This window comes from Homo sapiens, chromosome 19 (genome assembly GCF_000001405.40).
Source record: "Homo sapiens chromosome 19, GRCh38.p14 Primary Assembly".
NCBI lineage: Eukaryota > Metazoa > Chordata > Mammalia > Primates > Hominidae > Homo > Homo sapiens.
The window spans coordinates 10,588,053-10,600,060 of record NC_000019.10 but is presented as its reverse complement, the minus strand read 5'-3'; the positions used below and the strand labels follow the sequence as shown (position 1 = coordinate 10,600,060).

Genomic DNA, 12,008 nt, shown 5'->3' with positions numbered 1-12,008 from the left:
AGAGACGGGGTTTCTCTATGTTGGTCGGGCTGGTCTGGAACTCCCGACCTCAGGTGATCCGCCCCCCTCAGCCTCCAAAAGTGCTGGGATTATAGGCATGAGCCACCGCACCTGGACATACTCGGCTAATTTTTTAAATTTTTGTGGAGATGAGGGTCTCCCTATGGGTGCCCAGGCTGGTCTCAAGTGATCCTTCTGCCTCAGCCTCCTAGAGTGCTGAGATTACAGGTGTGAGCCACAGCGCCTGGTCCAGGAATAAACTATTGATACAGGCAAAAATATGGATGAATCTCTCCCCAAAAAGCATAATGTTGTGTGAAAGAAACCACACACTTTTTTCTGAAGTTCAAGAACAGGCATAGCTAATCAACCTATAGTAACAGAACATATATCAGTGGTTGACTTTTGGGGTAGTAATAACTACTGGGATGATAGGAGCAGCTTCTGGGCACTGGAAACAGAATTGTAGTTACATAGCTTAGTTTAGTTTGTGAATACTTGACCTTCTCCCCCGTACTCTGCCTGCCTTTTTTTTCTGAGACAGAATCTTGCTCTGTTGCCCAAGCTGGAGTACAGTGGCAATTTTTGTATTTTAGTAGAGACGGGGTTTCGCCATGTTGCCCAGGCTGGTCTCGAACTCCTGATCTCAGGTGATCCACCAACCTCAGCCTCCCAAAGTGCAGGGATTACAGGTGTAAGCCGCTGTGCCCAACCGACTTCTGCCCTTTTAAAATATGTGTTGCTGGCCCGGCACGGTGGCTCACGCCTGTAATCCCAGCACTTTGGGAAGCTGAGTTGAGTGGATCACAAGGTCAGGAGTTCAAGACCAGCTTGACTAACTTGGTGAAACCTGGTCCCTACTAAAAATACAAAAAAAAAAAAAAATTAGACGGGCGTGGCGGCGGGCGCCTGTAATCCCAGCTCCTCAGGAGGCTGAGGCAGAGAATTGCTTGACCCCGGGAGGCAGAGGTCGCAGTGAGCCAAGATTGCACCACTGCACTCCGGCCTGGGTGAAAGAGTGAGACAGCATCTCAAATAAATAAATAAATAAAATAAAATATGTGTTGCTCTTCCTGGTCAGGTCGCCAGCATCATGCTCTTCTATTCCTTTTTTCAAGTCCCTTGTGGGCATGAATGTGGTCATGGAACTCAAGAAAGACCTGAACATCTGTGGCACCCTCCATTCGGTGGATCAGTATCTCAACATCAAATGAGCTGACATCAGTATCACACACCTTGAGAAATATCCTCACATTTTATCAGTGAAGAACTTCTAGGCTGGGTGCAGTGGCTCACACCTGTAACCCCAGCACTTTGGGAGGCCAAGGCAGGTGGATCACCTGAGGTCAGGAGTTTGAGACCAGCCTGGCCAACATGGCAAAACCCCATCTCTACTAAAATACAAAACTTAGCCGGATGTGGTGGCGGGCGCCTGTATTCACAGCTACTCGGGAAGCTGAGGCAGGAGAGTTGCTGGAACCCGGGAGGTGGAGGCTGCAGTGAGCTGAAATCATGCCACTGCACTCCAGCCTGGGTGACAGAGCGAGACTCTGTCTCAAAAAAAGTTTTTTAAAAAGGACTGTTTCATTCCGGGCTCAGTGGTCCCATACGTGCAGTTGCCAGCAAAGGAGGTCGACACACAGTTGCCATAGCATGCAGCAAGGAAGAAAGCCAGCAGTAGTAAGTGACAGCCCCTCCTTCTCTTCCCTTCCCTCTTCCTTGGTGACCTGTAACTCCAAGTCCCAGCCCAGGACCCCTAACTCCCAATACTTGAAGGGGTTTTGTTTGTTTTTTTACTAATGATGGTTTTGTGGGTTTTTTTTAAAAAAGGGAAGAGTGGATAAGGGGAATAATAGGGAACAGGTATCCTTTGTTGAGAAAGGGAGAAGAGGTAGGCTGGGAAACTCCAAAGCCTTCCCAGTCCCCAGCACCTGCCGTTCTCACTACCTCCCTGGAGATGGTGGGAGGGAGGGCTTCCTAGGTCTTTCCAGGGTACCATGTGATTCACCTGGGGGTTGAAAGGAATCTGTCCCATATTGGGAATAACATTTATGATGCAAATATATATGTGTGTTTGTATACATAATAAATAAAAAAGTTACATTTCAAAATGAGAATTTTTAAAATAGTTTAAGAAAAAAGGTGGTGGTCCTGCAGATTATAATAAGAGTGACTGTTTACAGCCAGGAGTGGTGGCTCACATCTGTGATCCCAGCACTCTGGGAGGCAGGAGGGTCACTTGAGGACAGGAGTTCAAGATTAGCCTGGACAACACGATGAAAATCTGTCTCTAAGGCCAGACGCAGTGGCTCTCACCTGTAATCCCAGCACTTTGGGAGGCCGAGGCGGGCGGATCACCTGAGGTCGGGAGTTCGAGACCAGCCCGACCAACATGGAGAAATCCCGTCTTTACTAAAAATACAAAATTAGCCGAGTGTGGTGGCACATGCATGTAATCCCAGCTACTTGGGAGGCTGAAGCAGGAGAATCACTTGAACCTGGGAGTCAGAGGTTGCAGTGATCCAAGAGTGCACCATTGCACACCAGCCTGGGTGACAGAACGAGACTCGGTCTCAAAAAAAAAAAAAAGGAAAGAAAGAGTGAATGTTTATAGAAAGCTTAGTCAGTGTCAGACAAGGTATTAAATGCTTTATATATTTTTTTAACTCTTTTTCTTTTTTTTGAAATAGAGACCAGGTCTCATTAGCCTCAATCGATCTGCCCATCTTGGCCTCTTGAAGTGCTGGGATTACAAGCATGAGCCACCATGCTGGCCAAGCACCTTTTTTTTTTGAACCAAGGCTGCTGGAGGGCAGTGGCGCGATCTTGGCTCACCCAGTAAAGTGCTCTCTGTGTGTGTATGTGTGTGTGTGTGTGTGTATATAGTTGTTGTTGTTTGTTTTAGTTTTTGAGATGGAGTCTCACTCTGTCGCCAAGCTGGAGTGCAGTGGCGTGATCTCAGCTCACTGCACCATCTGCCTCCCGGGTTCAAGCAATTCTCCTGCCTCAGCCTTCTGAGTAGCTGGGATTACAGCACCCACCACCACGCTCAGCTAGTTTTTTGTATTTTTAGTGAAGAACGGGTTTCACTGTCTTAGCCATGATGGTGTCAATCTCCTGACCTCATGATCCACCGCCTCGGCCTCCCAAAGTGCTGGGATTACAGGCGTGAGACACCGCGTCTGGCCCAAGCACTCTGTATTAAATCATTATAATCATTTTCCAATTGGGGAAAGTGACCCAGAGAGGTGAAGTAATTTACCCACAGTAACATAATGAGCCCGTGGCTCTGCAAGGATCTGAACCCAGGGAGTCCGACTTTACACCCAAGACACACTTCCTTCCCCTTCAACCACATGCTTTCCGGAGTAGCGTCCAGGTCATATTGTTGAGTGATAATAGCAAGTTGTATTTTTTTTTTTTTATTTAAGACAGAGTCTCTCTCTGTCGCCCAGGCTGGAGTGCAGTGGTGCGAGCTCAGCTCACTGAAACCTCCTTCTCTTGGGTTCAAGTGATTTGTGTGCCTCAGCCTCTGGAGTAGCTGGGATTTCAGGTACGCACCACCATGCCCAGCTTAGTCTATATACATATATATATATATATATATAGTTGTTGTTGCTTGTTTGTTTTGTTTTGTTTTGTTTTTGAGACAGATTCTTGTTCTGTCACCCAGGCTCGAGTGCAGTGGCATGATCTCGGCTCACTGCAACCTCTGCCTCCTGGGTTCAAGCAATTCTCCTGCCTCAGCCTCCCGAGTAGCTGGGATTACAGGTGTCCGCCAGCATACCTGGCTAATTTTTTGTATTTTTAGTAGAGACAGGATTTTATCATGTTGGCCAGGCTTGTCTCAAACTCCTGACCTCAGGTGATTCACCTGCCTTAGCCTCCAAAGTGCAGGGATTACAGGCGTGAGCCACCACACCTGGCCAGTTTTTATATTTTTAGTAGAGACAGATTTTTTGCCATGTTGCCCAGGCTGCTCTTGAACTCTTGGCCTCAAGTGCCCCACCCGCCTCTGCCTCCCAAAGTTCTGGGATTACAGGTGAGAGCCACTGTGCCCATCCACAAGTTGTATAGTCTTATATGGTATGGGAGAAAGAGAGAGAAAGAGGGCAACACGCGCACACACACACACACACACACACACACACACAAACACACACACACACCCCCCTGCATGTAACCCAGCTGAAAAAGATCTGAATCAGCCAGTGGTTATGAGAGGGACGAAGATTGGGGTATGGGGGTGTCACAGGGGACTTTTTTTTTCTTTTTCTCTCACATCTCTGCTGGGAGGAACTTTTGCCTTTTCTTTAGTTTTGTTTTCTATTTTGTTTTCTCAGGAACTGGCTCAGCACAGTATTTTCTTAAGATAGGTTCTTGCTTTGTCACCGAGGCTGGAGTGCAGTGGTGCAACCATAGCTCACTGCAGCCTCAATCTTCTGGGCTCCAGTGATCCTCCCACCTCAGACTCCTGAGTAGCTGGGCATGGTGGCTTACACTTGTAATCCCAGCACATTGGGAGGCTGAGATGGGTGGATCACTTGAGGTCAGGAGTTTGAGACCAGCCTAGTCAACATGGCGAAACCCAGTCTCTACCAAAAATACAAAAATTAGCCCAGCGTGGTGGCAGATGCCTGTAATCCCAGCTACTTGGGAGGCTGAGGCAGGAGAATCACTTGAACTAGGAGAAGGAGGAGGTTGCAATTAGCTGAGATTGCGCCACTGCACTCCAGCCCCTGGGCGACAAAGTGAGAATCCGTCTCAAAAAAAAAAGAAAAAAAAGCTGGGCGCGGCGGCTCACGCCTATAATCCCAGCACTTTGGGAGGCTGAGGCAGGCACATCTCCAGGTCAGGAGTTCCAGACCAGCTTGGCCAAGAGACCAGCCTGGCCAATATGGCGAAACCCTGCCTCTACTAAAAATACAAAAATTAGCCGGGTGTGGTGGCAGGCACCTGTAGTCCCAGCTACTCGGGAGGCTGAGGCAGGAGAATGGCATGAACCCGGGAGGCAGAGCTTGCAGGGAGCTGAGATCGTGCCACTGCACTCCAGCCTGGGCAACAGAGCGAGACTCTGTCTCAAAAAAAAATAATAATAAAATAATAAAAGTAAATGAATAAATAAAATATAAAAAAATAAAATTAGCTGGGCGTGGTGGGGGGCGCCTGTAATCCCAGCTACTCAGGAGGCTGAGGCAGGAGAACTGCTTGAACCTAGGAGATGGAGGCTGCAGTGAGCCGAGATTGTGCCACTGCACTCAAGCCTCGGTGACGGTGAGACTCCATCTCAAAATAAATAAAAAAAAGAAAAGAAGAAGAAGAAGGAGGAGGAGGAGAAGGAAAAGGAGAAGAAGAAGAAGAAGAAGAGTGGGTGCCAGGGGTTGGGAGAGGGAGAAGGAGTGTTTCATAGGGAGAAGTTTTCCTTTGGGAAGATGAGAAAGTTCTGGAGATGGATGGTGGTGACGGTTGCATGGCCATTAATGTGCTTAATGCCACCGAACTGTGCACTTCAAAATGGCTAAGGTGGCCAGCTGTGGTGGCACGTGTCTATAGTCTCAGCTACTTGGGAGGCTGAGGTGGGAGGATGGCTTGAGACAGCAGGAGAGGAACTGAAATTCGGGCAGTTAGGGTGTCTGGGACAGCAGGTTCAGGTGGTGTCCTGTGGCAGAGGTCAGCAGGTGTCTGACTGTGCCAGGTGGGGGTGGTTGGAGGGCAATGGGGGGCCATAGAGGATGTGAGAGTGAGAGTCAAAAAATAATTGTGAGTTTCAGAGAGATCTCTTTAGTGGTGTGGAGAAGGGATTGTGGACAGGGCCTAGAGGCGTGGTCCCTGGGAGAGGCTGGAGGAGGCTCCAGGCATCCAGAAGGAACTAGGACAAGGCCACAGCCTCAGGGGGATGGGGGAGGCCGCCACTGAGGTGGGGCAGGCGGGGCAGGCAGAGCCAGCACACAGAGCTGCTCTGTTCTCTGACCCCAAGTAAGCTTTTGGGCTCATGAATTTTTCATGCCAAACAAGCCTGGAGTTTCAGATTCCAGGGCACTGGGCCCAGGCTTTCGGGTTCTGCTTACTGCCTGAAAACATCTCAGGGCCCCAGGAGATGAGTTCTTCATTTTGTTGTTGTTGTTGTTTTTGAGACAGAGTCTCACTCTATTGCCCCAGGCTGGAGTGCAATGGCGCAATCTTGGCTCACTGCAACCTCTGCCTCCCAGTTTCAAGTGATTCTCCTGCCTCAGTCTCCTGAGTAGGTGGGATTACAGGCATGTGCTACCACCCCCGGCTAATTCTGTATTTTTAGTCCAGACAGGGTTTCACCATTTTGGCCAGGCTGGTCTCAAACTCCTGACCTCAGGTGATCCACCCACCTCAGCCTCCCGAAGTGCTAGGATTACAGGCGTGAGCCACCACGCCCGGCTGCCAGGAGACGAGTTATTTTGAGGTTCAGCAATGTCTAGGCTGGGGTGAGGGCCTAGCAGTGACTGCATCCCCCTAGGTGACCTTCTCAGCAGGCAGTTGCTGGGAGCATGAAGGACCACCCCCCTCCTTTGGGCAGAAGCAACATAAAGTCTTGGGCTTTAGGCTGGGCGAGATGGCTCACGCCTATAATCCCAGCACTGTGGGAGGCCGAGGCGGGTGGACCACTTAAGTCCACAAGTTGGAGACCAGCCTGGGCGACATTGTGAAACCTGTCTGTACCAAAAAGTATAAAAATTAGCTGGATGTGGTGGTCACGCACCTGTGGTCCCAGCTGTGCAGGAGGCTGGGGTGGGAGAATTGCTTGATTGCTTGAACCTGGGGAGGTGGAGGTTGCAGTGAGCTGAGATCACACCACTGCACTCCAGCCTGGGTGACAGAGACCCTGCCTCAAAAATAATAATAATAATAATAATAATAATCAGGGCCAGGTGCGATGGCTCACCCCTGTAATCCCAGCACTTTGGGAGGCTGAGGTGGGTGGATCACCTGAGGTCGGGAGTTTGAGACCAGCCTGACCAACATGGAGAAACCTTGTCTGTACTAAAAATACAAAATTAGCCAGGCATGGTGGTGCATGCCTGTAATCCCAGCTACTTGGGAGGCTGAGGCAGGAGAATCACTTGAACCTGGGAGGCGGAGGGTATGGTGAGCCAAGGTTGCACCATTGCCCTCCAGCCTGGGCAACAAGAGTGAAATTCCATCTCAAAAAACAAAAAAGTCCGGGTGCAGTGGCTCAAACCTGTAATCCCAGCACTTTGGGAGGCCAACGTGCAATGCGGGCGGATCACAAGGTCAGGAGTTTGAGACCGTCCTGGCCAAAATGGCGAACCCCCATCTCTACTAAAAATACAAAAATTAGCCAGGCATAGTGGCACAAACCTGTGGTCCCAGCTACTTGGGAAGCTGAGACAGAAGAATCACTCGAACCCGTGAGGCGGAGGTTGCAGTGAGTCAAGATCACACCACTCCACTCCAGCCTGGGCGACAGAGCGAGACTCTGTCTCAAAACAAAAAACAAAACAAAACAAAAAAACCTTGTGCTTTCCAGAGCTCAAATCCCAGCTCTGCTTCTTCTGACTGGATGACATTGTACAAATCACTTACTCTCTCAAGGCCTCAGTTTCCCTATCTGTCAAATGAAGATAATAGAGTTGGGGGAGGTGACTCGTGTCTGTAATCTCAGTGTTTTGGAAGGCTGAGGTGGGAGGACAGCTTGAGGCCAGAAGCTCAAGACCAGCTTGAGCAACGTAGCGAGACCCCATCTCTACAAAAAATTTAAAAATTGGGCAGGCACGGTGGCTCACGCCTGTAATCCCAGCACTTTGAGAGGCTGAGGTGTGCGGATCACGAGGTCAGGAGATCGAGACCATCTTGGCTAACACGGTGAAACCCCGTCTCTACTAAAAATACAAAAAAATTAGCCGGGCTTGATGGCGGATGCCTGTAGTCCCAGCTACTCCGGAGGCTGAGGCAGGAGAAGGGTGTGAACCTGTGAGGCGGAAGTTGCAGTGAGCCGAGATTGCGCCACTGCACTCCAGCCTGGGCGACAGAGCAAGACTCTGTCTCAAAAAAAAAAAAAAAAAAAATTTAAAAATTAGCTGGGAGTGGTGTTGCTCACCTGTAGTCCCAGCTACTGGAGAGGCCTAGGTGAGAGGATCTCTTGAGTTCAGAAGGTTGAGGCTGCAGTGAGCCGTGTTTGCACCACTGCACCGCAGCCTGGGCGACAAAGCAAGTCCTTGTCTCAAATAAATAAAAAAAAAAAATAGGCTTCTGTAATTCAAGGGGCTGTCTTGAGGATTCCTGCATGGGCGACATTTAGGGCCACCCTCACTTATGGTGAGCACCATTTAAGCCAGAGTTAGTGTTACTAATAGTAATATTTGCATCCAGCAATATAGCAAAGCAGGCGGAAGCAGGCTGGGACCAGATTCTTAAATCCCGGGACTCAGATTCGAATTCTGGGTCAACTGCCTCCTGGCTCTGGGGCCGTGGGCTTGGGCAGGTGCCTTCACTTCTCTGTGTCCCTGCTTCTACCTTTATAAGATGGCACGAAGGAGACTTGTGCCAGATGATAACTTTTTATTTTTCATTCTATTTATTTATTTTCTTGAGACGGAGTCTCACTCTGTCACCCAGGCTGGAGTGCAGTGGTGCCATCTCGGCTCACTATAACCTCCGCCTCCCCAGTTCAAGTGATTCTTCTGCCTCAGCCTCCCAAGTAGCTGGAATTACAGGCATGCGTCACCACGCCCGGCTAATTTTTGTATTTTTAGTGGAGACAGGGTTTCGCCATGTTGGCCAGGCTGGTCTCAAACTCCTGGCCTCAGGTGCTCTGTCCACCTTGGCCTCCCAAAGTGCTGGGATACAGGCATGAAACATTGCTCCTGGCCCAGATGATAATGTTTTAATTAAAGTGCAGTGCTGCTGTCAATGTTGATGTTAATTTCAGGTGGAGAGGCAAGTGGATGATCCTGATAGCTGCTGTTCTCTAAGTCCCCACCTACAGGGGCTGATAAAGGGCTGGGCAGGGTTTGGGGAAAGGACAAGTGAGGTCTGGGTAGGCTGAGTCTTGTTCCCTGCAGGCCCTGCAGGACATCTCCCTCCCTCAGCCAAGCAAGGTGGTTCTAAGCAAGGCTGAGGTTTACTTTCCCTTTCCTTCTGCCCTGTCCTCAAAACTACCGCACTTTGGGAGGCTGAGGTGGGCGGATCACGAGGTCAAGAGTTCGACAGCATCCTGGTCAACATGGTGAAACCCCATCTCTAATAAAAATACAAAAATTAGCTGGGCATGGTGGAGTGCACCTGTAGTCCCAGCTACTTGGGAGGCTGAGGCAGGAGAATCGCTTGAACCCAGGAGACAGAGGTTGCAGTGAGCTGAGATCGCACCACTGCACTCCAGCCTGGCGACAGACTGAGACTCCATTTCAAAAGAAAAAAAAAAGGAAAGTCCAGGGGTGGAATCTGGGTCTGCAGCAGCTGGTGTGCACGAAACATGCATGGAGCCAGGGGCCATGCCAGGTATTTGGCTATGCAACTGCAGGAGAGGGCACCATGGCTGTTATACCCATTTAACATAAGAGGAGACTGAGGCACAGCAGGTGCATTCACCAGCCCATGCCTTATAGCCAGTGTGTGGTGGTATCAAAAATCAAACCCAGCATCTGTGCTCTCAACTGCTACATCATCATCCAGATCATCATCTTCATCCTCCTCCTTCTCAGCGACATGGTTGACAGTCAGCTACATCCAAGTTCCCTTCCAACACCACGTTGCACAGAATAACTCATTTAATCTGCACAAACCAGGCACAGTGGCTCAGACTACGCCTGTAATCCCAGTACTTTGGAGGGCCAAGGGGGGAGGATCGCTTGAGCCCAGGAGTTTGAGACCAGCCTGGGCAACATACCGATACACCATCTCTACAAAAAATGTAAAAATTAGCTAGGTCGGGCCGGGTGCGGTGGCTTACACCTGTAGTCCCAGCACTTTGGGAGGCCGAAGCGGGCGGATCACGAGGTCAGGAGATCCAGACCATCCTGGCTAACATGGTGAAACCCTGTCTTTACTAAAAGTACAAAAAGTTAGCCAGGCGTGTTGGCAGGCGCCTGTAGTCCCAGCCACTCGGGAGGCTGAGGCAGGAGAATGGTGTGAACCTGGGAGGCGGAGCTTGCAGTGAGTTGAGATCGCGCCATTGCACTCCAGCCTGGGTAACAGAGCGAGACTCCATCTCAAAGAAAAAAAAAAATTAGCTAGGTGGGCCTGGCCTGGCGCGGTGGCTCACACCTGTCATCCCAGCATTTTGGGAGGCTGAGGCGGGTGGATCACGAGGTCAGGAGTTCAAGACCAGCCTGGCCAAGATGGTGAAACCCCCGTCTCTACTAAAAATACAAAAAAAAAATTAGCCGGGCGTGGTGGCAGGCGCCTGTAATCCCAGCTACTTGGGAGTCTGAGGCAGAGAATTGCTTGAAGCTGGGAGGCAGAGGTTGCAGTGAGCAGAGATTGCGCCACTGCACTCCATCCTGGGCGACAAAGCCAGACTCTGTCTCAAAAAAAAAAAAAAAAATCAGCTAGGTGTGGGCCAGGCGCAGTGGCTCACGCCTGTAATCCCAGCATTTTGGGAGGCCAAGGCAGATGGATCACGAGGTCAGGAGTTCGAGACCAGCCTGGCCAACATGGTGAAACCCCATCTCTACTAAAGATACAAAAAATTAGCTGGGCTTGGTGGTGCACGCCTGTAATCCCAGTTACTTGGGAGGCTGAGGCAGCAGAATCGCTTGAGCCTGGGAGGCAGAGGTTGCAGTGAGCCGAGATTGTGCCATTGCACTCCAGCCTGGGCAACAGGACGAGACTCCAAATTAAAAAAAAAAAAAAAAATTAGCTAGTTGTGGCCAGGCGCAGTGGCTCACATCTGTCATCCTAGCAATTTGGGAGGCCAAGGCGGGTGGATCACCTGAGGTCGTGAGTTCAAGACCAGCCTGACCAACATGGAGAAACCCTGTCTCTACTAAAAATACAAAAAAAGTAGCCGGGCATGGTGGCGCATGCCTGTAATCTCAGCTACTCGGGAGGCTGAGGCAGGAGAATTGCTTGAACCTAGGAGGCATAGGTTTCAGCGAGCCGAGATCACATCACTGCACTCTAGCCTGGTAAACTAGAGCAAAATTCTGTCTCAAAAAAAATTAGCTGGGTGTGGCGGTTTGTGCCTGTAGTTCCAGTTACTAGGGAGGCTGAGGCAGGAGGATGGCTTGAGCCCAGGAAGTTGAGGCTGTAGTGAGCCATGATTGCATCACTGCAGTCCAGTCTAGGGTACAGAGTGAGACCCTGTCTCTACAAAAAAAGTTTTTTGGCTGGGTGCGGTGGCTCACGCCTGTAATCTCAGCCCTTTGGGACGCTGAGGCGGGTGGATCACCTGAGGTCGGGAGTTCGAGACCAGCCTGGCCAACATGGTGAAACCCCATCTCTATTAAAAATACAAAATTAGCCAGGCGTGATGGCGCATACCTGTAATCCCAGCTACTTGGGAGGCTGAGGCAGCAGAATCCCTTGAACCCGGGAAGCGGAGGTTGTAGTGAGTAGAGATCATGCCACTGCACTCCAGCCTGGAGTCTAAAAAAAAAAAAAAATTAGCTGGGCATGGTGGCGCTTGCCTGTAATCCCAGCTACTAGGGGTGCTGAGGCAGGAGGATTGCTTGAACCTGGGAGGTGGAGGTTGCAGTGAGCCAAAATCATTCCACTGCACTCCAGCATGGGCAACAGAGTGAGACTCCATTTCAAAAAACAAAAAAAAATAAATTTTTTATTTGAAATGAATAAGAGTAAATTTGTAAGAATAATAAAAGCAAGTACATTTGTCCTGCTCGGAATTATATCCACAGTTCCTGTTACTGAGTGAATGAATATTTCAAATTCAGTCAGTAAAATTCACCAGTGAAAATTATTATATGAATGAGTGAATGAATGAATTGGGCAAATTTTGAGCACCCAGTGCTGAGCACTAGGGACATAAACATGAACAAGACAAAGTCCCTGCTGTA

The 12,008-nt window shown here is 49.8% G+C and overlaps 1 pseudogene, besides 4 other annotated features; it reads left to right on the top strand.

Moving 5' to 3' along the window:
- On the top strand, positions 1,084–2,061 carry LSM2P1 (LSM2 pseudogene 1; annotated as a pseudogene).
- Positions 4,229–4,418: an enhancer, noted in NCBI's record as "active region_13980". NCBI's record gives its function as "activates an Ori minimal core promoter by ATAC-STARR-seq in GM12878 lymphoblastoid cells {active_cell/tissue: GM12878}" and the evidence as "EXISTENCE:reporter gene assay evidence [ECO:0000049][PMID:35858748]".
- Positions 5,893–6,417: an enhancer, noted in NCBI's record as "H3K4me1 hESC enhancer chr19:10704320-10704844 (GRCh37/hg19 assembly coordinates)". NCBI's record gives its function as "activates a minimal SCP1, AML or CMV promoter by ChIP-STARR-seq in naive H9 embryonic stem cells {active_cell/tissue: H9 hESC(naive)}" and the evidence as "EXISTENCE:reporter gene assay evidence [ECO:0000049][PMID:30033119]".
- Positions 6,944–7,468: an enhancer, noted in NCBI's record as "H3K27ac-H3K4me1 hESC enhancer chr19:10703269-10703793 (GRCh37/hg19 assembly coordinates)". NCBI's record gives its function as "activates a minimal SCP1, AML or CMV promoter by ChIP-STARR-seq in primed H9 embryonic stem cells {active_cell/tissue: H9 hESC(primed)}" and the evidence as "EXISTENCE:reporter gene assay evidence [ECO:0000049][PMID:30033119]".
- Positions 8,881–9,081: a silencer, noted in NCBI's record as "peak3354 fragment used in MPRA reporter construct". NCBI's record gives its function as "represses an SCP1 promoter by STARR-seq MPRAs in K562 erythroleukemia cells {active_cell/tissue: K562}" and the evidence as "EXISTENCE:reporter gene assay evidence [ECO:0000049][PMID:32103011]".